Source organism: Homo sapiens, chromosome 19 (assembly GCF_000001405.40).
Source record: "Homo sapiens chromosome 19, GRCh38.p14 Primary Assembly".
Classification (NCBI taxonomy): Eukaryota; Metazoa; Chordata; class Mammalia; order Primates; family Hominidae; genus Homo; species Homo sapiens.
Window position 1 is genome coordinate 6,002,213 of NC_000019.10, and position 25,372 is coordinate 6,027,584.

Below are 25,372 nucleotides of genomic sequence, written 5' to 3' on the forward strand. Positions count from 1 at the left end.
ACCCGGCTTCCGGGGACTCATACCCAGGTCTTTCTGGATCAAAGCTCATGCTATATGAGGTCTTTGTTTAGCTTTGTTTCAAAGGGGTCACTTCTAAATGTATGTGTGTGCGTTTATTTATTTAATGGATAGACGCAGGGCCTGAAATAAGCATAGCTCGGAAGCTGCTGTGGGCCGACACTTTGCCAAGCCCAGGGGACAGAGCCAGGAAAATGGCCACAGGGAGGTCAACGTGGTGCCACGATCCTGGAAGCTGGGGGCCTTTGTGAGGAAAATGAGCAGAAGTGTTGGCCACAGCGCCTGGACGCCAGAGGGCCCTGAGAGATGATGGAGTGGAGAGAGCTGGGGGCTGTGGGTGGGCTTTGGCCTGGGACCCGTGTCATGCAACAGAACCGTGGCCAGGCTCGGGGCAGGGGCCAGGTTGTGCCACGGGCTCCACTTGGTGGGTTTGCTGGTTTTGCTGGAGGGCGGGAAGCCCGGGCCCTGGGGACGGTGTGGAGGAAGTCACCTGCACGTTGGCAAAGTCCACGCGGTTGAGGTCGCTGAGCATCTGGTTGATCTGGGACGTGTTCTGCAGCACCGCCCGGGCCGCCTGCGCCAGGTGGTTGAGGGACGTGTAGCGCCGCAGCGTCTGGGCGAAGGCACTGACGACGCCCACCTGTAAGCCAGGGCTCGTGGTGAGCAGGGGTTCGCAGGGAGAGCCTGTTCCGCTGCGCTCCTTGCAGGGGTGTGTGGGCTCAGGGACAACACAGGGAGGAGGGAGCAGGAAACAGCAACCTGGGCAGGGAAGAGGGAACCTCCTGCTATTCTTAAGGACCCAGTGTGTGAGAATCAGTGAAGAGGAGACCTCGCCGGCACATCACACACGTCGCTAACTGAGGCCTGCGTGCTGCTGAGTTAGAATTCACAACTGTCGCCATGCCCACTTCTAGAGTCCCTGTGGTTCTCTGGAGGGGCTGTTGAGACCACAGACTCCTGAGTGCTACAGGATCAGACTTTTAGTGGGTGTGGCCTGGGAATCTTATTTTTTTTAAGAGATGGGGTCTTGCTTGTTGTTGCCCAGGCTGGTCTCAAACTCGTGGCATCAAATGATCCTCCAGTCTCTGTCTCCCAAAGTGCTGGGATTACAGGTGTGAGCCACTGCACCGGCCCTGAATGTGACTTTTTAACAATGACCTGATCAATGCTTGCATCACTGCCTAACAGATCAATTCCGAAGAGCAGGCGGGTGCCCTGCAGCTGCCTCCTCTCACCCAAGAGCCCTTCAGGAAATGCTCATGATGGCTGGGTGAGGTGGCTCACACCTGTAATCCCGGTACTTTGGGAGGCCAAGGCAGGTGGATCGCCTGAGGTCAGGAGTTCGAGACCAGCCTGGCCAACATGGCGAAACCCTGTCTCTACTAAAAATACAAAAAAATTAGCCAGGTGTGGTGGCGGGCACCTGTAATCCCAGCTATTCGGGAGGCTGAGGCAGGAGAATCGCTTGAACCCGGGAGGCAGACGTTGCAGTGAGCTGAGATAACACCATTGCACTCCAGCCTGGGCGACAGAGTGAGACTCTGTCTCAAAAAAAAAAAAAAAAAAAAAAAAAAAAAAGAAATGCTTGTGAGAACGGTGGGTAATCACTCTCTTTTCCACAAGTCGGCCAAGGTTCTACATTTCAAATTCGACTGATTTGTGGCCAAGATTGCAGCAATAAGGGTCACAGCAAGGAGATTAAATTTCCCGAATAAGATGAGCACAGAAACACGCAATCTGTTCTGAATTGACCCAAAGATGTGACATCAAATGACATCTTCTGTTGTTCCCCTTCCTGCCAGCACTGACGCGTCACCGGCAGTGTGCTCAGGGCTTCCTGAAGGGATCGGTTACTCTCATGACGCAGGGAAGAAGCCAGCGCTCTCTGGGACACAGTGGTCCTCATGCTGTCCTGGACTGGAGCCCCTCCCAGCCATCGTTGGGGAGCCCAGGCCCCACCCCGGACGCACCTTGGTCTGGATGACCTGTTGTGGGAAGTCACTCATGGCATTTGTCAACCAGCCTTCCAAGCTCTTGGCAAAGTTACGGATGGCCTGTGTCAAGGTACCTGGGGGATACAGACCATGATATTACCAGGGAGAAAGGCAGTGACTGGACCCTGGAAATCAGCATTCAGTGTAAGAGCTGGCCCAAGTGCGATGAAAATGACCACCATGAAGAACGAGCCACACAGGCGACGGGGAACCGAGGACACTTAGAAACGGGAAGAACCAGGCATGGCCCAGCGCTGCTGGTCACCACCCACTGCCTATGCGGGTCTCACAGGGGCGATTCTGCCCCAGGGGACACTGGGCAATGTCTGGGGACGTTAATGGTGGTCATGACTGCAGGGTGCCTCAGGCATGGAGTGGGTGGAGGCTAGGGATGCTCCTCAGCACCCCACAGTGCCCAGGAGGGCCCCACCCCAGACAACGATCCAGCCCCAGATATCAACAGTGCCAAGGGAAAGAGGCCTTGACACAAACACACACACACACGTAAATACATTCTACCAACTTCCTAATTTATTTTAAAGTGGGTTAGAATAAGAAGCAAATGATCAGACTGTTAAAAAAAAAAAAAACCAAAAAACAAAAACAGAAAAAGGCCAGGTGTGGTGGCTGACGCCTGTAGTCCCAGCACTTTGGGAGGCCGAGGTGGGCGGATCACCTGAGGTCCGGAGTTCGAGACCAGCCTGGCCAACATGGTGAAACCCTATCTCTACTAAAAATACAAAAATGATCTGGACGTGGCGGTGGGTGCCTGTAGTCCCAGCTATTTGGGAGGCTGAGGCAGGAGAATCACTTGAACCCAGGAGGCAAAGACTGCAGTGAGCCTCCTGCAATCCAGCCTGAGTGACAAGAGCAAAACTCTGTCTTAAAAAAAACCAGAAAAATATTTTAAAATGCAAAAGGAAAGATACCCCAAACTCCCACCATAACATAGAAACTCAGACGAGGCATTGCCCTGAACAGTTTTCAGGCAGACAGGCAAGGCCAGGCCAAATGAGAAATGCAATACTTTTGCTGTTTCCCATCTTCCAGCAAAGGGAGCATAGAGTTTACTCAACAGGACGGAGAGCTGCCTGGTACTAACGGGCATGCATATTTGTGGATGGCCTGAGGGGCACGGTCCATGGGCCCGGATGTTTGTGGATGGACTGCGGGGCATGGCCTGTGGTCCTGATGCTGTGATTTATGAAGAGAGGCCTCTGTGCCCAGCTTCCTTGACGACCCCCAGGGTTTTGGGGAGCTTGGCACGGGCCTGGCCCGAGGGCTCCCTCGTGGTGGGTGCTGTCATTGCCTCAGGAGCTGGAGGCCCTGGGAGGTCTCCAAGGGCACGAGTGATCTCTGCCGTGGGCCTAGCTTCCTTCCTCACTGTGCCTGTCACTCTCTCCCCACCCCACCAAGTCCTGTGGGAAATCACAGGGTGGGGCGCTGGGGTGTAAATGTCTCCTGGAATCCCACGGTGCTGGGAAGTGGGGTCTGGCTGGGGGTTAAAGGTCAGCCTCTACCCTAACAGGCTGCAGGAGTCCAGGGCCATGTCCCAGCTTCTTCTTCTGAGTTTATGTCCCTGCCCCTCCTACAGGGGTGGCACTCAGGATGTGTCACAGTGGGGCTTAAGGGAGGCTGGAGGAAGGTGGCTGGTGGTCGTCTGCAAGACCAGGGTGCGCAGCAACCCCACATGGCCCTGGGCCAAGGCCTCCCGCACAGTGACGGCTCCAGGGCTGCACACAGGCTACTCCCAGAGGCCGGCCTGCATGCCCCCAGTGAACCTTCTAGAAAGCACCGAGCCCAGCCCAGCTACTCTTGGCTGTGTCCTGACAGCAGGTAGAGCTCACCAGAGCCACTGTGACCTTCCCCTCGAGTCAGAGACAAGGACAAATAACGCATGCCAGAGGGGACACATTCTACGGCCCACAGCGGCTCTCACTTAGGGATTTTTTTTGAGACAGGGTCTTGCTCTGTTGCCCAGGCTGGAGTGCAGTGGTGCGATCATAGCTTACTGCAGCCTCGACCTCTTGGGCTCAGGTGATCCTCCTGCCTCAGCCTCCTGGGTCGCTGGACTGCAGGCATGCAACACCACACCAGCTAATTTTTGTATTTTTTTTAGAAATGGGGTCTCACTATGTTGCCCAGGCTGGTCTCAAACTCCTGGGCTCAAGTGATCCTTCTGCTTCAGCCTCCAGAGTAGCTAGGGCTACAGGCACACACCACCATGCCCAGCTCATTTTTTTTTTTTTTTTTTTTTTGAGACAGAGTCAAGCTGAGTGCAGTGGTGTGATCTCGGCTCACTGCAACCTCTTCCTCCTGGGTTAAAGCTATTCTCCTGGCTCGGCCTCCCTAGTAGCTGGGACTACAGGCGTGTGCCACCATGCCCGGCTAAATCTTTGTATTTTTAGTAGAGATGGTTTTCAGCATGTTGGTCACACTGGTCTCAAACTCCTGACCTCAAATGATCTGCCCGCCTCAGCCTCCCAAAGTGCTGGGATTACAGACGTGAGCAACCTTGCCTGGCCCCAGATAAATTTTTTTTTTTTTTTTTAGAGACAGGGTCTCACTATGCTGCCCAGGCTGGTCTCAAACTCCTGGGCTCAGCGATTTGTCTGCCTCAGCCTCCCATAGTGTGGGGATCACTGGCATGAGCCACCGCGCCCGGCCACTTTTGGGTTTTCTGTGAAAGCGATGGTCTGAGGTGGCTGAAGACGTACATGTAAGAAAGGACAGAGGAGGCAGGAAGAGAGGATGGAGCAGCGCCGGGCGGGGCCGTGGGTCACTTACTGGGGACCGGCCTCAGCACGTCGGGGATGAGAATCTCCACCAGCGCCTGGTAGAGGATGTGGTCGCAGCTCCTCATCCACCTGAGGATGGGGTCGCACTGACACAGGGAGATAAGCTTGTCCTTGGGCAGGACGGCGCCCTCGGGGTCTTCGTCACTGTGGAGGGAGGGGGGACAGGTGAGCTGTGGCCTGGCCCAGGTGGGCTCACTCAGCCACGGGAGCGAGCAGAGAGCCGGGCTGCGGGACTTTTGCCCAACAGTGGGGCTGGGGTTTTGCTCCCCATCCCTGAGCCTCGATGGGTCCCCTCCCTCCATGTTGCTCCCGGCGCCTCCGTGTTTCCCCCTGTCCCTCACTGTCCACGCTGTCCCTCCCCTGCCAGTGGTCATACTGTCATACTGCGTCTCACTGCAGCTATGGGTTGGGGTCACTTCTACTTGGGATTGCATCATGGTCACCTCTAAAATCCTCCCTATTCAAACAGTCTGACCCTGCAAAGGGGCGGATGGCAATGTGAATTTCAAGTCAACTCTACCAAGTCTAAAAATTACAGGGATGGAGGCAGAGGGGTCTGAACCCTGATTCTTGGAGAGCTGAGGCTTTCGTTTGTGGGTTACCTGTGGACGTCAGCAGGGGGTTAAGTCTGGGGTGGCTGTGAACCCAGCCAGGGTGTGGCAGTCACCTGGCAGGAAGAGAGGTGGGGCCGTCGCTGGAGGAGGCCTTAGAGTTCCAGAAGGAGAGCCACAGCTTCTCGATGTAGTGGAACTGGAGGTTCATCACCACATCTACAGTTGCCTAGGAATGAAGGGACCGGTGAGACAGACGGGTGCGTGCGCCCATCACGTGCACTCAGCACACGTCAAGTGAGCAGCCGTGATCCGGGCTACAGCGGGGTGCCCTGGAATCCCAAGGGAGGCCACAGAGAGGAGAGGAGCAGGCGATGGACATGGATGCGGAGGGGCTGCTGCTTCAGAGAGGATGCTTGTTGGGGGGCTCGGGGCTCCAGCTCCTCAGCGTCACCCGGGGACGCCTGGCCTGAGCGCTGGCGGTTCCCGGGAGGGACACGCAGGAGCTGCCTGCCTGGGCTGGGGCGGTCACCTCGCAGTGCCGTCTGTACACCAGCTGCAGGGCCTTGACGTCGTGCAGTGTGACGCCGTCCTGCAGCAGGAAGCTGCCCAGGTCGGGCGCTGGGAACTCGGGGAAGACGTGGGAGACATCTGGGGGAGGAACACGGGAACATCAGAAATGGCGAGGCTCTTAGGACACCGTGGACAACTGGAAGGCCACGGTGGATGGGGGCCCAGAAACAGATGTTCTGCCCCACCCCATGCAGTCAGGGAATTTGTTTTTTCTTTCTTTTTCTTTTTCTTTTTTTTTTTTTTGGAGACAGGGCCTTGCTCTGTTGCCCAGGCTGGAGTGCAGTGGCACGATCTCGGTTCACTGCAACCTCCAGCTCCTGGGATCAAGCGATTCTTCTGCTTCAACCGCCCGAGTAACTGGGATTACAGGTGGGCGCCACGATGCCAGCTAATTTTTGCATTTTTTAGTAGAGACAGGATTTCGCCTTGTTTTGGCCAGGCTGGTCTCGAACTCCTGACCTCAGGTGATCTGCCCACCTCGGCCTCCCAGAATGCTGGGATTACAGGCGTGAGCCACCATGCCCGGCCATTTTTTTTTTTTTTTTTTTTGAGATGGAGTCTCGCTCTGTCACCCAGGCTGGAGTGCAGTGGCACGATCTTGGCTTACTGCAACCTCCTCCTCCTGGGTTCAAGTGATTCTCCTGTCTCAGCCTCTTGAGTATTTGGGATTACAGGCACGTGCCACCACGCCTGGCTAAGTTTGTATTTTTTTTGGTAGAGATGGGGTTTCGCCATGTTGGCCAAGTTGGTCTCAAACTCCCAACCTCAAGTGATCTGCCTGCCTTGGCTTCTCAAAGTGCTGGGATGGCAGGCGTGAGCCACCGTGCCCAGTACAGTCAGGGAATTTCTAAGCATCAGTTTTCTCAGGTAGAAAATGGAGAGGATATTGTCACCTCCCAGGAACATTAAATATGCAGACACAGAGAAAGCCCTGAGCCCAGGCCCTGGCACACAGCAAGTACCCACAGAGCCAGCTCAGGGCAGCACATCTCGGGGAGAAGGCCAGCCACGGTGTCCCTGCAGTGACCTCCTGGAGATGGGCCTGACCCCACCTCAATCTCTGCCGAAGACTCAACCCAGGAGGGTTCTGTTTGGGCTCAAAAAAGATCATAAACGACATGGAAGCCACTGAGTGTGTACAGAGCCCACCTGAATCATGACATGCCAGTGAGCCTTCCTTGGCCGCCCCCCACCCCCCTGCCCTCCCTCATGGCAGGCTCTGAGTTAGGGCCTTCCCGGGGCAGAGATGGCACCACCACTAAGCCAGCTGGGGAAGAACGCTGTCCCTTGAGCAGCCCCCAGGGAAGAGGCCAAGACTGCCTCATGTTGGGGAACCAGAAGCACCCCAAAAGCTCCAGGCAAGAAGGAAGAAAGCCCAGATAGCAGGCAAATCCTGGTGCACCCTGAGTAGAGAATATCTAGCGTTCTTTCTTTTTTTTTTTCTTTAATTTTAAAGGCAGAGTCTCGCTCTGTCACCCAGGTTGGAGAGTAGTGGCGTGATCATGGCTCACTGCAGCCTCGAACTTCTGGGCTCAAGTGATCCTCCTGCCTCAGCCTCCTGAGTAGGTGGGACCACAGGAGCTTGCTACTATGCCTGGCTAATTTTTTAAGTTTTTAGTATGTTGCCTAGGCTGGTCTTGAACTCCTGAGCTCAAGTGATCCTCCCGCCTTGGCCTCCCAAGGTGTTGGGATCACGGGCATGAGCCGCCTGTCCTCTAGTGTTCTTTCTGATGGTCATTTGATTTTATTTTCTCATTTTTCTGATGGTCATTTTATATATTAATTTTTTTGGCATGTGCTGATTATTCTAAAGTCTCAGGGATGTCAGAAAGAAGGTTTATCGAAAACTTTCTATTTGTCCGAAAAGGTGTCTCGTAAGAAAACTGTCGGAAGCAGACGCTTAGACACCACTGGTTCTGCTGGTGTTGAAACCCAGGAGTGTGGCGAGCAGATGGGAGCCCCGCCCCCGGGCCTGACCGGGCCTCTCACCTATGTACTGCTGGTGGTGCTGGCTCTGCACGGCCATGGTCTGTTCCGGAGTGCTGTGCAGGCCGCTGTGGGAGCCGCTGTCCCCGAGGCTGTCCGTCTTCTGGGCTGGCCGGTACCTAGGCCAGGAACACGCATACCATCATGAGGCCCAGCAGCCCTGCTGCGGGTGGGCCCAAAGACTGGGGGGCTGGGCAGGATTCAGTCAGGCATGTGTGTGTGATGTTTACAAGTTGCGGTCAAATACACATAACACAAAAGCTACCATCGGAACCATCTTGAGTGCACAGCTCAGCAGCATTAAGCACATTCACTGGTTGTGCAACCCTCACCGTCGTCATCTCCAGAACTTGATCATCTTCCCACACTGAAGCTCTGTCTCCATAAAACGCTCACTCCCCATCCCTGTCCCCAGCCCCTGGCACCCCTGATCTGACTTCCCGTCTCTGTGAATCTGACGACTCTAGGGACCTCCTAGGAGTGGGGTCACACAGGATTTGTCCTTTTGCAACTGGTCTCTCTCACTGAGCGTTATGTCCTCAAGGTCCACCGAGTTGTAGCCTGTGTTGGAATTTCCTCCTTTTTAAGGCTGAATAATATTCCATCATATGGATGAACCACAGTTTGTTAATGGACACTTGAGAAAATAGATATATATTTTCCCCCTAACATTTCTCTCTTAGAAAAAAAAGTGAAATTCTTGGCCGGGCGCAGGGGCTCACGCCTGTAATCCCAGTGCTTTGGGAGGCCGAGGCAGGTGGATCATCTGAGGTCGGGAGTTCGAGACCAGCCTGACCAACATGGAGTAACCCCGTCTCTACTAAAAATACAAAATTAGCTGGGCGTGGTGGCGCATGCCTTTAATCCCAGCGACTCAGGAGGCTGAGGCAGGAGAATCACTTGAACCTGGGAGGCAGAGGTTGCAGTGAGCCGAGTTCACGCCATTGCACTCCAGCCTGGGCGACAAAAGCGAAACTCGGTCTCAAAAAAAATAAATAAATTAATTAAAATAAAATAAAATAAAATAAAATAAAAGGGAGATTCTTTGCGTGAATCACAAACATCTTATTATTGGTGCAATCTTAGAAGTTCTGAGACTTTCATTTTGAGCCAGATGGTGGTGGCCAGCCTGTGCAGGCAGTGCTGAGAAACACTCAGCACTTTCCAGGCGCTGGACTCCTCAGGGCCCGGTGTGTGGTGTGGTGGGGGCAGGGAGGGAGCCGGCTTGAGCTGGAGCATCTCCAGCGGACCTCCCTCCTCAAATACGAAGCGGGGCCAGGCCTACAGGGAGGCGGGAGACCATGCTGGCGAGGTGTGTGTAAACCACCTGGCTCAGGGCAGGCCGTGGGCATCACACAGACACAGGCTCAGGCTGTGGCTTCCAAATGCAAATGGCATCAGCCTGTCCCCCTGAAATGTGTGTCGCTGCTCCTAAAATGACACACTGCCTGGAGCACAGGTTCACAGCTGTCTGCCAGGGGCCCAAATTGAACAACAGCAGTGAGCTCCAGAGTCCATGTCTGCAGACAACGAGGTACAGAAGGAATGCTCTGGAAACTCTCTCCTGGAACCTCCAACTCCTGGGAGTGGCTGTGTGGTCAGGAGTCAATGGGTTACGCAGAGCAGCTGGAATGGGTTTTTGAGCCACACACATACACGGGTGGCTCTGTGCAGAGGGTCCAGCACCAGGTGTAAAGGTGCCACGTGGGGCTATTGCAATGTGGCCCCTGCCCTCAGGGGGGGCACTTGTGGAGGCACACTGGGAGGCAGTGATATTTGAATGGGCCCTAAACCAGGGGCCAGCAAACTATGGCCTGAGGGCCAATTCTGCTGTTTGTTTTTATAAATAAAGTTTTACTGGCACACAGCCATGCCCATCATCCTCATGCTGTCTGTGGCTGCTTTCAGGATGTAGCCAAATTGAACAGTCATGACAGAGACTGTCTGGCCTGCAAGGCTAAGATATTTGCTCTCTGGCTCTTTACAGGAAAGGTTTGCTGGCTCCTGCCTTAGAAGATGAGAAAGTTTGTGATGGATGGAGAAGAGGATCTTCCAGAAAATAACCAGGGCTTTCCAGCCACTGGATCCAAAGGTGAAGAAGAAGTCGTGACTTGAGCACATCTGCTTCTTTCTCCTGGCTTCTTGGGTTATTTGCAGTGTCCTCTCTCTCTTTACTTCCTAAGCTTTAAAAATTAAAGGTCTGTGATTCCAACTATATGACACTGGGGAACGGGGAAACTGTGGGGATGGCAGAAGGATTAGAGGTTGCTGCAGACTGGGGTGGGGAGGGAAAGCTGGGTAGGCAGAACATGGAGGATGTGTAGGACTGTGAAAGGACTCTGCGTGACACTGTGATGGGGGACACATGTCATTATAGGTTTGTCCAAACTGTCGAATGTACAACACCAAGAGTGAGCCCTGATGTTGACTGTGGACTCTGGGGGGTGATGCTGGCTCCGCGGAGGGTCACGGGTCATGAGCAATGCACCGCTGTGTGGGGGAGGTGAATGGTGGGAGAGGCGGTGGGGAGCGGGGCTGGGGGTGTAGAACAACTCTCTGTACTTTCTACTCAATTTTGCTGTGAACCTAGAATGGCTCTAAAAAATGAAGTCTGTTAAAAACAGTTTTAAACGGTTTTAAAAAAAGTCTGAAAAGTTAGCTGGAGGAGGTTGCATCCCAGCCTCCTGTGTCTCCTGCTAGACTCACCTCAGTCTCAGCAGAGGGGGATACCTTGGCTTTCCCAGGATGCTGGAGACTGGGGAGTTATGATGAGTTTGTTTCGTGTTGGAGAAACACCCACCCCTCCATGCTCCAGGGGAGAGCCAGCTCCTCCCAGCTCGGCCCGGCACCCACCTGGGCTTCTGGTGCATGGGCTGCTGCCGCATGGCCATGTACTGCGTGTCCTCCTGCAGCCGGTTCAGTGGTGAGTCCGGCTTCAGACGAATCCCATAGTAATGGTACTTCGAGTTGCCCCTGGAAACCAAACATCCCAGGGTCAGCTCCCTTTGCAGATGTCCTGAACAACAAGACAGGTTGGGATTCTTTTTCTTTCTTTCTTCTTTTTTTTTTTTGAGACAGAATCTCATTCTGTCGCCCAGGCTGGAGTACAGCAGTGCCATCTCGGCTCACTGCAATCTCCGCCTCCCGGGTTTAAGAGATTCTCCTGCCTCAGCCTCCCAAGTAGCTGGGATGACAGGCGTGAGCCATAATGCCTAGCTTATTTTTGTATTTTTAGTGGAGACGGGGTTTTGCCATGTTGGCCAGGCTGGTCTCAAACTCCTGGGCTCAAGTGATCCTCCTGCCTTGGCCTCCCAAAGTGCTGGGATTACAGGCGTGAGCCACTGCGCCTGGCCTCTTCTCTCTTTTTTTTTTTTTTCAGAAACAGGGTCTCACTCTGTCACCCAGGCTGGAGTGCAGTTGTGCAATCACAGCTCACTATCAGGAGGTCACTACCAGGAGGTCACTATCACTTGACCTCCTGGGATCAAGTGATCCTCCTGCCTCAGCCTCTGAGTAGCTGGGACAGCTGGCGTGTGCCAACACACTCGGATGGTAGAAGTGATCCTCCTGCTGCAGCCTCTGAGTAGCTGACGTGTGCCACCACACTCGGATCTTGACCTTTCACTTTGGCCTCTCTGGTTCAGCATTTCCTGAACTGTGTGAGGAATGTGATCAAGGAATTCTGTACATAATGCCGTTGTCATAGAGAGTCCTCTCTCACAGGCTAGTATAATAAAGGCTCGGACAAGTCCTGTGCTGAGAACACCAGGTCAGCTTTGTTGAGCTCCACATGGCTTATCTCCATTATTATTACCATTATTATTAACAACTCTTCCCCACCCCCTTCAATCATCTAGTAACACGTTTTGGAATAAGGCACTGTTTGGGAACCATTACATTAGTTTATTACGGGAGAATGATGATCAGAGGGCTTTAAACAATTTAGTTCAGAAAACAGCTCACAGAGTCCTTACAGGAGGGAAGCATTAACCCACAGACATGGCTGTGGAGACACCCAGCTCACAGGATGCCATTTCTCCAGAGCTGGCAACAGGGACATGCAGGAAGCACCTGGGTCCTTTCTTTTTCTTTCTTTCTTTTTCTCTTATTATTATATTTTTGAGACAGTCTCACTCTGTTGCCCAGGCTGGAGTGCAGTAGTGCGATCTCGGCTCACTGCAACCTCCCTCTCTCCCAGGTTCAAGAAATTCTCCAGCCTCAGCCTCCCCGATTAGCTGGGATTACAGGTATGTGACACCATGCCTGGCTAATTTTTTTGTATTTTTAGTAGGGACGGGGATTCACCATGTTGGCCAGGCTGATTTTGAACTCCTGACCTCAAGTGATCCTCCTGCCTTGGCCTCCCAATGTGCTAGGATTACAGGCGTGAGCAACCATGCCCGGCCCTTCTTTTCCTTTTTAAATTTCATTGCAATAGCAGACAGCCTGGGCCCTTTCTAGATGAGGTACATGTTTAGCCAGGTGCTCGGAGGAGGGAAAACGGGGGGAAATCAGCCTTAATCCTGAAGCCAGCAGCTGGGATACTCTGCAGGGGAGGCCCCTCCAGGAGCAGGGGCTGTGTCCCCAGAGACCAGGCTTCCCTGTGGCTTCCTCCCGCTTCTGTCCCTCCTCTACGCATCCACATTCCCTAAGGACATTCCCTGTGAAGGATGAAAAAGTGTCAGAGAATAAGGGACTCTGGTCCTCGTGGATCCACCGCCACGCCGTTTATAGACAGCCAGGACACCGGCTTTGAGAGCACGTGAGTCAGCCCCAACCCCACAAAAGCAGATGCCAAGCCTCGCTGGCCACAGGATCACAGCCTCAGCAGGCAGCAGCCTACTGCACTCTCTGGGCCACCAGCTTTGGGTTGGAGGTGCTGCTGTTTCTTTCTGTTAGAGGAGAGTTGGCATAATTGCCTGTGATAAGTCTGTGGCCTGTGATGTCCCGGGGCTGCCATAGGCCAAGAGAAGGCGGGGTGGATTGGTCCAGGTACAGCAAAAGACACCAAGAGGCCGGGCACAGTGACTCACACCTGTAATCCCAGAACTTTGGGAGGCTGAGGCAGGCAGATCACTTGAGGCCAAGAGTTTGAGACCAGCCTGGCCACCATGTCGAAACCCTGTCTCTACTAAAAATATAAAAATTAGCCAGGCGTGCTGGTGGGGGCCCGTAAATCCCAGCTACTTGGGAGGCTGAGGCAGGAGAATTGGTTGAACCCAGGAGGTGGAGGCTGCAGTGAGCCGAGATGACGCCACTGCACTCCAGCCTGGGTGACAGAGCAAGGCTGTGTCTCAAAAACAAAACACTGAGAAATGGTAAATCCAGCTCTGCTGGATAAACCAGAGGCTACATTTTGTTTGTTTGTTTGTTTGACACAGGGTCTTGCTCTGTCACCCAGGCTGGAGTGCAGTGGTGCAATCGTGGCTCACCGCAGCCTCAACCTCCTGGGCTCAAGTGCTCCTCCCCTCTCAGTCTCCCAAATAGGTGAAATTACAGGTGTGCAAATACGTGTGCACCACTATGCCTGGCTAATTTTTAATTTTTTTGTAGAGATGAGGTCTTGCTATGTTGCCCAGGCTGGTCTTGAACTCCTAGTCTCAAGTGATCCTCTTGCCTCGGCCTCCCAAACTGTTGGGATTTCAGGTGTGCACCACCACACCTGGCCCAGAGGCTGCTCTAAAACAAAAAAAGAAAAGTATTGTTTGGGAAATTTCAAAAGGAGAGAGAAAACCAGAGTGATCCCCACGTCCTATCACCGGCTTCTAAAGCCGACACCGTGGGCTACACCTGGCCACAGCCAAGGCTGCCGCCAATTGAAAGTAACTGCAAGCACTCCAGAGGTGGCTGCGAATCAGGCCACCTGGAAAGGAGGAGGAAGCCTCGCATTTTCCCAAAAGCTCCATTTCTTGGGAAAGGAAGAGGAAGAACAGGTGGGCTGGGGATCGTCTACCCACCTGGTGCCCAGCCGCCGCGTTCTCAGCCCCATAAACACAGAACGGATCAGTTTCCCGAAGGAGGCGGCGTTCACTGGGTCTAGCTTGTGCTCCTGGCAGTGCCGAAGGTAGTGGTTGTAAAGAGAACTTCTGGGGAGACTCACACCTTCCGCTGTTTCATAATTATCCAACAGCCACTGGAGCTGTAAAAAGAAAGACACGTCTGCGTTTGTCAGAAGCCTGAGGAACGCTAACATGCCAACGTGGACTCATTAAGAGAATTACTTGCGTTCCCTGTGTTACCAAATGGGATGAGGAAATCCATCTTTTCTTTCTTTTTGAGGCGGAGTCTTGCTCTGTCACCCAGTCTGGAGTACAGTGGCGCAATCTCGGCTCACTGCAGCCTCTGTCTCCTGGGTTCAAGCAATTTTCCTCCCTCAGCCTCCCAGGTAGCTGGGATTACAGGTGTCCGACACCACATCTGGCTAGTTTTTGTATTTTTAGTAGAGACGGGGTTTCACCATGTTGCCCAGGCTGGTCTCAAACTACTGACCTCAGGTGATCCGCCTGCCTCAGCCTCCCAAAGTGCTGGGATTACAGGCGTGAGCCACCGTGCCTGGCCAGAAATCCATCTTTATGGTCACTGATTTGAGTTCTCTAAGCAGATTAATGAATCCCTCATTTTCTTTTGCTTATTGATTCTTTCATGTTTAGCCTGGTTTTCAGGTTCCTGGACTTAATTTGTAAACATCTGGGTGTGATCAGGAACTATTAGCTTCTGTCTTCAGTCCCTTAAATGAAATACCCACACACCACACAGGCTTTAACACCAAATCGCTCCCCAACATACAGGAATGGAGAGAAATTCTGTTGCTGAACAGGAAGATTGAAGAAGACTCGGGGGCCCCACAGCCCTGTGTTCTGTAGTGAGCAGTGAGCTAACATGTACTGAGATCCCTTATTGAGGGAGGTACAAATGGAAATTCAGTAAAATACACAAATGCTTATATGCACGGTTTTGTGTCTAAGTCAAAAGGCAGGACATAGCTACTTGGGAGGCTGAGGTGGGAGGATTGCTTGAGCCCAGGAGGTTGAGGCTGCAGTGAGCTAGGGTCGCGCCACACTGTACTCCAGCCTGGGCGACAGGGCAAGACTTCGTCTCTTTCAAAAAACGAAACAAAACAAAAAGATGGGCTAAATGAGTCCCGAGCCAAGGACTATGCCTCGAGAGGTGAACATCCAGTTAGAAGGGCTGCGAGAACTGTCCACACGAAGAGCTCAGTCCCCACACTGGGCATGGACGCAAAGGTGGCCTGCCCACCAACTGATGCCCTCACCCAGGTGCCTTAAAGACTGCGGCTTAATTCTGGTTTCCACCTCTCCCTCTGCTATCGTCTGTCCCCTGATCCAGAGAGGTCTGCTATGTGAATACAAAAGGCTTGCACTGATGCCTGCGATTTGCAGAAAGACAGGAATTCCACGCACAGAAGCGAGGCCCGAGTCCAGATCCCATGTCAAGAGCGTCGGGGGAAACCAGCTGTCTCTACCTGGTCCCCTTTGTGCGAGGCTGTCAGCTGCTTTGTCTAGGCTGAGCCCCGCTTCCAGAGCTCCGAAGGGCTCCTGCTGCCTGGGCCCTTCAGAGTGGGCAGTGCTGGGTCCTCAGCCCTCCCCCACCGGGCATGTTGGGCTCCTGCACAGCCCTTGGCCTGGGAAGCCCTTGTCCCTGTGCCCCGCACACCCCACAAGACACAAAGTAGGCGTGTCCCCTGGGAAATATCTGTCCACTCACCACAGCGTACCCATGGCACCCCCCCGCCCCACTGTCACGTTTGCCTGTCTGTTTGCCCCATCCCCACCCCCCCAACTCAGCATTAGAAGCTGGGGAGGAAGAAAGCATTCATCTCCCTTTAATTATTTATTTATTGAAATGGAGTCTCACTCTGTCACCCAGGCTGGAGGTGCAGTGGCGCAATCTTGGCACACTGCAACCTCCACTTCCAGGCTTCAAGTGATTCTTCTGCCTCAGCCTCCTGAGTAGCTGGCATTATAGGCATGCACCACCACATCTGGCTTATGTTTTTTGTATTTTTAGTAGAGATGGGATTTTGCCATGTTGGCCTCGAATTCCTGACCTCAGGTGATCCACCCGCCTTGGCCTCCCAAAGTGCTGGGATTACAGGCGTGAGCCACCGCGCCCGGCCTTCATCTCCTTTTTATGAAATAGTGCTATGGGGTGGTTCTGACGAGCCCTGCACCAGCGACCAGCACCTCAGAACCCCTTTTATCTCATCTAAGACCCACTCGATCCAGCCTGTCCTGGCCCCTCCAGCCCTAACAGGGGTTGACCCAGGGCCACAGTGGAGTGAGGACCTGCCCTGGGTTCTGGAACGTTTCACAGGAGGACAAACAGGTCAAAGGTTCAGGTGAAGGGGTGTGTGGGGCCTGAACGCGGAGGTCTCTTAAGCCGAATTGCAGGTGAGCTGCGGGGCTGAGTTCCATTTTAGGAAGGGGGAAGTTAAGTCTTGGGCTGGAGTTCAGGGTAGAGATTGGGACCAGATGTGTTACTTTGGAACCAAAGAGCTGAGGACAAAACCTCCAAGGGGTGGGAAGAGTCAGTCACCCAGCAGGGGCACTGCCCACGTGGGTGTTGAGGATGAAGAGGAGCAAAGCGTAAGCCTCGAAGTGTGGGTCCAACCTCACGTCCTGCCTCTGGGGCAAGCCAGGAGGGCTTCAGACCTCCTGACCACAAGCTCCCCTCCAGCTCTGCTCCTGCAGGTAAGTCCCGTGGCCAAACATCCCTCCTTACCAAAGGGACAGGAGTGGTTCCTGCCACAATCCCTGAGCTTGGATTCCGGTTCCCTGGCCGCCCCTGAATCACTCAAGTAGCCTATCACCTCCTCCTCAGCACCAGGGACCCCTCGCCCTCTTGCTACCACAAAGTCTGCCTCCTGCCGCCTGCAGGGCCCTGTGTGAAGTGCAGTGTCCCCCACCCCCCCGCCATGAGTGCAGGTGATCGTTAGCAGTTGCCATCGTTAGCAGGTGCCAATTTCATCCGTCCAGCATTGGGTGCCATGTGCTTGGCTGTGCCCATAACCACAGGGAGGGACCCCCGCCCTCTTGTCCTTTGAATAAGGGGCAGTTAAAACAAAGGACCCTGAGAAGGGCCCGGAGTGGAGACTTCATCTCTTCCTCACTTGCCTCTTTGGGAAAAGGGACATCAGAGTTTTCACTTTCCATCAAGTCATTCACACCCTTCATCTTCCGACTTTCTGGACTGGACTTTTTCCAATACAATGGAGGCAGTGTTGCTTTTTTCTCCTCCAAAGTCCGGCTCTGGCAGAGTGCTTGGACCCTTAAGAGCTTAAGAGCTCCGGAGTCTTCCCTGTATTTAATGCTATGAATACTATGAACCACAACCTTGATGTTGAAGTTAGTGTGTGAGTATGTGTGTGTGTGTGTGTGTGTGTGTGTGTGTGTATATACTTTTATATACTTTTTTTTTTTTTTAGAGACAGGGATATATATATATATATATATTTAGAGATAGGGTCTCATCCTGTCACCACCCCAGGCTGGAGCGCAGTGGTGCAATCATGGCTCATGCAGCCTCCAACTCCCGGGCTCAAGTGATCCTCCTGCCTCAGCTTCCAGAAGTGTTGGGATGACAGTCGGGAGCTGCAGTGTGGGCCCTGAAGCTTTTCTTCCCAGTGGCTTCACCGTCCGGATTTGTCATGTGTGCTGATTGATTTATCGCCTGTTCCCCGCAGACTATGCTCTCCCTGAGGGTGGAGACGGAGCCAGGTTTGCCCATGTGAGCATCTGCAGGATCCTGGAGATGTCTCAAGCCTGGCAGCAGAGAAAGACTGTCCAAGGAGGTAGATGGGGAGCAACAGAGGGTGTCTGGGTGAAGAAGCCAGAGGCTTCCCTTGGTCATTCTGAGGCTGGGGGCACAGGTGCCACTTCTTAGACTGTCCTCCACAGGCAGCAGGAGCCAAGGCCAGTGACACCACATCTCAAGGAGCCAAATGACGATGCGGATTTTCAGGCTAAAACTGTGAGGCCAGATTTTGCGGGCGGTGAGCTGGAAGGAGCACTGGACTAGGAGTCCTGAGAGGTTAGAGTATAAGACTCCATCCACCAGGAGGACATACTGGCTCACACATAAAAAGAAAGTTTTGGAACAGATGATCCTTCTGCTGTTTACCCCCGAACCCCCAGGCTATTTAAGAGTAGAATCCTTTGCTTGGGTAATTACGTTGACATTGACACTAAAAGGATGCATAGTTGTCTTGACAGCAAGTCCTTCTTGCTCAACATCAAGAAACCACAGAGAAGACTGAAGCGGCTGGAACAGTCGCGTCTATTTCCTCCCTCTTCTGTGTTGATGAACTTCTGGGAGGAGAATGGGGTTAGAACCGAAGTATGGCTTGCAGACTCTGTTCAGGGTCTACGCCTCACCAGCAGGCTGGGAGCCACTTATGCACCGGGCCTTCCCATCCCTCGGTGCTGGAGCCCACACCTGGCGGCACGTCAGACTGCGGCAAGCATCACAGGTCAGTTCCGTGAAACCGACCACGAGGGTCCAGCCGCTCCAACCACACTCGCCCACCTCCCCTGCTCTTGAGGGCTCGGGTACCTTCATGCCAGGAAAGGCAGCAGCTGGACGGAGTCACCTTTCTGGTTTGGGCATGTTCTGCAGTCTGCTTTGTCTGCTGATATTTGCATTCTTTCTGTGTCAATATCAAACACAAATAAGCAGAACGCTTTCCAAGGAAATGTACATGTGTACCCACATTTGCCACAATCTGTCAGGACAGCACACTTCTTGATGAAATGGATCAAATCATTCCTTTTAAGGAAAAAAAATCCCGAAATGCCAGCGCCTCCCTCTCCCCGGCCCCCCAACAAAGGCCTGTGGTTCTGGGCTCTTTGCAGGCACAGCCCCTGTGGACAGATATCCTCACCTGCCGGTGGGAAGGCAGGGATCATGCCCACCTACCTGGCCCCCTTTGTCTCCTAAGATACTTGTTTCTATTCCTGGGGGCAAATTTGCCTGACACTGGCTCCTGGTGGTGAGTTAGAGTCTCACCGGGCCATACACTAGCAGCTCGGGCAGCTATTCCAACCGTCCAGGTGTGCCCTGTGTTGACATAATCCGACTTGGAACATCCACCTTTTCACCCATTCCACAAATATTTACGAGAGCTGGCTCTATGCCAGGCCTTGTTTAGGTGCTGGGGATGCAACGGCGAATAAAAGACAAAAACCCCTGCCCCCTGGAAGCGTCCGTTCTTGTCTGGCAGAGACCCACAATAAATAAGTAAAATGAACCGAATGAGGGCTGATGCCGAGTGCCGTCAGAGAAATTCACCTGGGAAAGGGGATGGGGTCGCCGCCACGGAGGGACTGGAGGGAGGACTGCAACGGTATAGTAAGTTGAGGTGGGGTGGGGGTGTCAGGCAGGGCTCACTGAGAAAGTGCCCACTGAGTGAAGACTCAGAGGAGGTGAGGGGGAGCCTGGGGAAGAGAGCTTCAGGCAGAGGGCCCCACAGTGCAAAGGCCCTGGGGCAGGTCCGAGCCTGGTGCATTGGAGGAATAGCGAGGAGGCCCGTGTGGCTGGAGCACAGTGAGGAGTGGGAGAGAGCGGGTCCTGCAGGGCCTTGTGGGCCATTTTGACAACACTCGGTTCTACTTGGAGGGCCAAGGGGAGCCCTGGAGGCTTCCAAGCAGAGCAGTGTGGCGATCTGACCTGGGTTTTAGCAGGATCACTCTGGTGGCTGCTGTGAGAAGGGGCTGGAGGCTGGGTAGGGGTGGGTGCTGACGGCTGGCTAGGAGGTGGCCGAAAGAATCCACAGGGACAGTGGCGGCTCGGGAAGTAGTCGAAGTGGAGGAGGTGGGGGGTGCCACCTGGTTCTGGATCTTTCTTGAAGGTGAGGTTGAAGAGCATCTGGGGGTGGGCATGAGAGGAGCAAGGAGGCGAGGACGCAGTGGGGTTGGGGGCCGAGCGCCTGGAAGATTGGCTGCCCCTGCCTCAGATGGGACCGTGGGCGGGAGGCGCAGGGGTTGTGGGAGGCGCAGGGGTTGTTGAGGGTGGAGGCCACGCACTGAGCTAAGACACTAATCCGAGGCAGGCAGGAATTCCAAGGGAAAACAGCGGCACTTCTGGACAGAGGCCCCTTCTGAGGAGCTGCCGGCTCTAGCAACCCCACTGTGGCCTGCAGGACAGCACGGCCATCGTGCCAGGCTACACAGGTCACCAGCTGAAGGCTAAATGACCTTTGACAATGTGTGTTTCTTGATTTCAAAGCAAAAAGTCACATAACCCAAATACGACTCTTCCACACGCAGCTCTCTCCCGCAGGGTGTGCAAGTGATGTGTTTACTTTAGCAGACAGCGCCACCTCATGGTGACAGAGACTCGGTGAACCTGCTACGGGGTCCCGGTCGGCTGGTAGCCTGAGGGCAGCCCGGTGGCCCCCAGGGGCTGAGGCCGCCTCTTCTGCTCAAGTCGGTGGCCTGCCACACCCGGTCGGGTGAAGACATGTTTCATCCCCAGCCCCGGCTCCGTCCCCTTCCCTCTGGAAGAGCTAATCCCCATTTTCACGGCGCCATATCATGCCCTTTTCCAGTTTGGACACTGCTAGGGGGCCTCCTCCTCCCTGGGAGTTTCCACGCCAGGCTGACCATCAGCTGGCTGGAAGGTTCTTCCAATGTGCAGACCTCCAGGCCCTGCAGACCCCCTGGGTCCAAGCCCCTAGAGGGGAGGCCTGGGAAGCTCCTGTTGACCGGCTGGGTCTGGACAATGCTGTCTCGTTTTACCAGGCTCCCAGCACCTGAATACACCTTCCCTCCTGAGACAGCGCAGAGGAGGGAACCAGCTCCGCGGAACACGTGGCCAGCTCCGCTCAGAGATGTCTGTGAGGGGTTCCCTAGGTGGGTTTCCCACGTCTTCCACCTTCTGCCCTCAAATGCTAAGCTCCCTGGAGTGACTTTTCCTCCTTTTTTACTCCCTATGTTCGGCACTGACCTGGCCAGAACCCTGCACACGGTAGACGGTGGTCTGACGTCACCAGCTGGCAGCAAGGAAGAGGCGCACAGGCCCTGCTGCTGGGGCGACCTGCCTGGGGCTGTCTGAGAAGGGAGGTCTGGGAGGCCACTGGGAAAATGGGTCTCCAGGGCCCAGCTGCTCCCACACACTTGGCTTATCTGCCACAGGGTCAGGCTGGCAGGGGAGGTGGCACTGTGGCTGTGCCCCCGCCTGACCTGCAGAAGGCCGCTGCCCACCACGACCTCAGTCTCAGCCACAGGCAGCCCTGGGGACAATCGTTGCAAGGGCACGTCACCCCGTCCATCAGCAGATCACGTGCTTTAACTCCTCTCTTCCTCTCTGGCTCTCACATTTGCCAAAACAAGATCTAAGTTTATTCTGCCCGTGTGTGTGGTGAACTTTTTAGAAAGATCTTATTTTACTTCCTTTGCTTCGAGTCACCAAGCCCGGAATCTTACTGATCACAGCTCATGACAGAAGGAAACAACTCAACAGCGAATCATCAGTGAGTAAAAGAAACGAGAGATTTTACCTTCAGCTCGGGAATACGAATCTTCATCGGGGAAGCGACCTGAGAAAGTCTGCCTTTCGGATGAAGTGTTAGAAAGCAGGAAGGATCCCAGCAGCCAGAGACAAGCGGCTCATGCATTTTCCCATAGACATTTTTTCTTTTTTTTTTTTGAGATGGAGTCTCGCTCTGTCTCCCAGGCTGGAGTGCAGTGGCGCAATCTCAGCTCACTGCAACCTCCGTCTCCCAGGTTCAAGCGATTCTCCTGTCTCAGCCTCCAGAGTAGCTGGGACTACAGGCATGTGCCACCACGCCCGGCTAATATTTGTATTTTTGGTAGAGATGGGGTTTCGTCATGTTGGTCAGGCTGGTCTGGAACTCCTGACCTCAAGTGGTACACCCGCCTTGGTCTCCCAAACTGCTGGGATTACAGGCGTGAGCCACCGTGCCCAGCCCATTTTCCCATAGACATTTTAACTCTCCCGTGGACTTGCTGCCTGTCCAGGCTCTGCACCCCCATCCTGCCTGGGTCACGCAGCCCTCTCGCCCAGGGCTGATACCCTGGACCCGCATGGGTTTGCGTTCAGGCTGAAGATGGCCTGATCCTTGCTGAATGGGGAATGGTATTCTGCACATTTTCCCATGTATGTGCTCTGAGTTTAAGACTGGGGGCTGGGGAGATCCTCTCTCCAAGCACGTGTGGAAGACTCCCTTCTCCCTGAGTTCATCTACAGGGAGGATGTCATCCAGCAGTGACAGATGACAGGATGACCATGTCCTACCCAGCCTGGAGAGGGGCGGGGCACTGAGCAGGGGTCTGGCATGGTGTTTGTTTTGTTTTGTCTTTTTTGCTTCAAGACAATCGGCAGAAGGAAATATTTCTGCCATTTCTTCTAGTGACCAGCCCCCTGAGGCAAAGGGCAGAGGCCTCGTCAGGGGCTGCGGTGAGCAGGTGACCACACCTGTACCTAACCCATAACCCAGGTTTCTGGACCTGTCCTACATCACTTTCTGCCCCCAGAATCACTCACTGCCTTTTGATAACGCCTCATTTTACACATCGGCCAGCACAGAAGTCAGGATGGAATCACAGTGAGGACGGGAGTGAGGACGGGATCACGGTGAGGACGGGAGTGAGGACGGGATCACGGTGAGGACGGGAGTGAGGACGGGATCACGGTGAGGACGGGAGTGAGGACGGGATCACGGTGAGGACGGGAGTGAGGACGGGATCACGGTGAGGACGGGAGTGAGGACGGGATCACGGTGAGGACGGGAGTCAGGACGGGATCACGGTGAGGACGGGAGTCAGGACGGGATCACGGTGAGGACGGGAGTCAGGACGGGATCACGGTGATGACTGGGGTCCACTGAAGGGGACTTCTTCTCTGATGTCTGAATTCTCAAGAGAATGTCAGAGCCCAGTTTAAGTGCTAGAGAGCAACTACTAGAAGGACATTCTGACTTCGATGGCCCGTCCCAGTGTTAAGATGCCGAACACATTTCCAGCTATGTGCAAAACCGAATCAAGAGCGTTTGGGGAGAAGTGAAAGCGATGAGTCTGAGGGGGCCAGAGCTTTCCTTCTCTGTTGTCCCTGGAAATAAAGACGGAGCCTGCCACGTCCCCCAGTCCCATCCTGCTACAGGGCTGTGCAGAGCTGAGATGCCCCCAACCTCCTGTCATGGGGACTGTGATCACGGTCTTCTCCCAAGAGACAAGGGGAGGAGAAAAATCCTAGACGCTAAAATCTGTATGAATTAGCTGCTTTATGCTTTTCTCAAATTACTGTTTCTTTCCAAGAGAGGATCCCAAGAAAATTAGCTAAGAGTCTAAGGCATTCCCGATCCTATGTCATTTTCTCTCTTTTTTGTTGCTGTTGCTGATTTTTGTATTGTTTTTATTTTTCATATATAACTATACTGCTTATCACCTGCCAGGTATTGTTGAAAGTATTTTACGTACATTAAATAATTTACTCCCTATGACAACCCGAGGAGGTAGGTGTTGTTATTATCTACCTTTTACAAATAAAGAATCTGTCTTGATTTCTCCTTCATTGCTGAAGGGTATTTTTTGCTGGATGTAGGATTCTAGATTGGCTTCCCCTCAACCACCTTTCACAAATGACACTTTAAAGGTGTCATTTTATTGTCTTCTTCTTTTTTTTTTTTTTTTTTTGAGATGGAGTCTCACTCTGTTGCCCAGGCTGGACTGCAGTGGCGTGATCTCGGCTCACTGCAACCTCTGCCTCCCGGGTTCAAGCGATTCTCCTGCCTCAGCCTCCCAAGTAGCTGGGATTACAGGCGCCCACCACCATGCCCAGCTAATTTTTCTATTTTAATAGAGACGGGGTTTCACCATGTTGGCCAGGCTGGTCTCAAACTCCTGACTTCAAGTGATCCACCCGCCTTGGCCTCCCAAAGTGCTGGGATTACAGGTGTGAGCCACCGCACCTGGTTGCCTTCATTTGTCTTAAAAATGTCTATGCAGGTTACAAGCAGAGCAGGGACAGGTTGCCAGGTCAGACGCACACTTACATGGCTGTTGAGTAAACCGCTTTTGTGTGATGTGATTCCTTCGCTTTTTTGGAGGTTTTCAATCGCCATTTCAAGCTAAAGAAAATGTGTGCAGAAACAAAACAAAACAAAATGGAAAAAAAAAAAAAGGAAATCAGATGGTTAGCATCAGCCAAGATTTGTTTTTATTAATATCCAAATAATGATTCGAGCTCCTACAAAATAAAAATGAGGCTCCACGCAGGCAGGGCGGGGGTGAGTTAAATTGTGCATGAAAGCTGCGGTAGGGAGTGTTGCTTCGCACACGTAGGTAAGCCCGAGAGCCCGTCCAACAGAAGCAGCAGAAATCATGTTGTAAAAACTTGCTACTGAACTTTAACCTGGCATATGTGTGTGCACGCCGTAGCATTAATATGCAGCCACTGCATCCATTCCAGTGTCAGCCAAGCCAGCATCATAGTCACCTGCTCCTTTCCCCACGCCACATCGATGGGGAACCAGAATGAAAGCAAGGAGAGATGGCAGCCTTGACTCCCCAGCCAGGCTGTCCTGTCGCAAATCCCAGGGTCTCCCCGCTGCTGGAGGCTTTGGGAAAATAGCAGCGAGGCCAAAGACTCAGACCCTGCCACCAGGAGGCCGTAGGATCCAGGGCCACTGGACACTGTCTGGCGAATGTTTACCCAGTGGGAGCTGTGCGAAGAAGATTTTTGGAAAAGAGAAAAGAGTTTTGGAAGAAAGAGTTGGGCAGCTAACAGCAGAACTTCCTGGAGGAAGGGGCTTTTGAGTTGGATCCTGAAGGACCTGATGGAGGTGGGGAGGGAGGTGGGCGGCAGGTCCACGCGATGGAGGAGGCACACAGCTGTGCGTGGCCACTAAGGCATTCGCACGCATTTGGTTTGTCCTAGACTCGCACACGGAAAACAGCGACGTAAAATCTGCTGCAGCCCACCCTGACGACCAGAGGACTGAAGCGGGAGGAGATGAACTTGAAGTATATGCTTCCTTTCTTAAGGAGGCCAAAGACTTGACACTTCTGCAAAGAGCAGGTTGAGTGTGTATTTCAGAGAGCAGGCGAGCGGAGCTGAGTTCAAGAATGAGAGGGTAACTGCTTCTCCCACGGCCTCCGACCACGGTGGTTCTGCCTTCTCTCATTAGCTACCCTTGCTTCAAGCCAAGGAGGACGTCAGGGTCACCTTTAAGAAGTGCAGAAGGTACACTGGAGGACCAGGGGAAAGTAGGATGGTGAGACCTCTCCCACCCATCAGCCTCAGGGTGCAGGCGATGAGAAGGCAATCGCCACCTCTATGATAGAAAAAACACACATGCCACCCCCATGTCTTGGGGCCATTCTGATCTGCAGCTTGGGCAGCCACGTGAGTACTGCCCTGTGGCACCTTCCCTGTGGGACATCGCTCACCTATGGGTGCCGGGAGAGCAGAGTGC

General features: G+C 53.6%; 1 protein-coding gene and 1 long non-coding RNA gene across 8 annotated transcripts in view, besides 2 other annotated features; one reads left to right on the forward strand and one right to left on the reverse strand.

Moving 5' to 3' along the window:
• Nucleotides 1-18,151, forward strand: part of RANBP3-DT (RANBP3 divergent transcript) — a 41,961-nt gene extending 23,810 nt beyond the window's left edge. The window contains exons 2-4 of the long non-coding RNA NR_046376.1: nt 9,908-10,012; nt 17,624-17,731; nt 17,838-18,151. This is a non-coding gene — a long non-coding RNA (RANBP3 divergent transcript). The remainder of the gene's footprint in view (nt 1-9,907; nt 10,013-17,623; nt 17,732-17,837) is intronic.
• RFX2 (regulatory factor X2) overlaps nt 1-25,372 on the reverse strand; it is a 117,337-nt gene that overhangs the window by 9,049 nt on the left and 82,916 nt on the right. For 3 of the 7 annotated variants that reach the window (XM_017027107.2, NM_000635.4, XM_047439196.1), the window contains 9 exons: nt 23,951-24,025; nt 13,878-14,059; nt 10,774-10,893; nt 7,924-8,039; nt 5,894-6,012; nt 5,478-5,590; nt 4,800-4,954; nt 1,989-2,086; nt 509-658 (listed from right to left, as the gene is read on the reverse strand). In XM_017027107.2, coding sequence (XP_016882596.1) covers nt 509-658; nt 1,989-2,086; nt 4,800-4,954; nt 5,478-5,590; nt 5,894-6,012; nt 7,924-8,039; nt 10,774-10,893; nt 13,878-14,059; nt 23,951-24,025 — 1,128 coding nt within the window. Of the gene's footprint in view, nt 1-508; nt 659-1,988; nt 2,087-4,799; nt 4,955-5,477; nt 5,591-5,893; nt 6,013-7,923; nt 8,040-10,773; nt 10,894-13,877; nt 14,060-23,950; nt 24,026-25,372 lie in introns of those variants that run through there. The other 4 variants (XM_047439198.1, NM_134433.3, XM_047439197.1 and 1 more) reach the window with 2 other exon arrangements.
• Nucleotides 12,798-13,297: an enhancer, noted in NCBI's record as "H3K4me1 hESC enhancer chr19:6015021-6015520 (GRCh37/hg19 assembly coordinates)". NCBI's record gives its function as "activates a minimal SCP1, AML or CMV promoter by ChIP-STARR-seq in primed H9 embryonic stem cells {active_cell/tissue: H9 hESC(primed)}" and the evidence as "EXISTENCE:reporter gene assay evidence [ECO:0000049][PMID:30033119]".
• Nucleotides 16,174-16,675: an enhancer, noted in NCBI's record as "H3K4me1 hESC enhancer chr19:6018397-6018898 (GRCh37/hg19 assembly coordinates)". NCBI's record gives its function as "activates a minimal SCP1, AML or CMV promoter by ChIP-STARR-seq in primed H9 embryonic stem cells {active_cell/tissue: H9 hESC(primed)}" and the evidence as "EXISTENCE:reporter gene assay evidence [ECO:0000049][PMID:30033119]".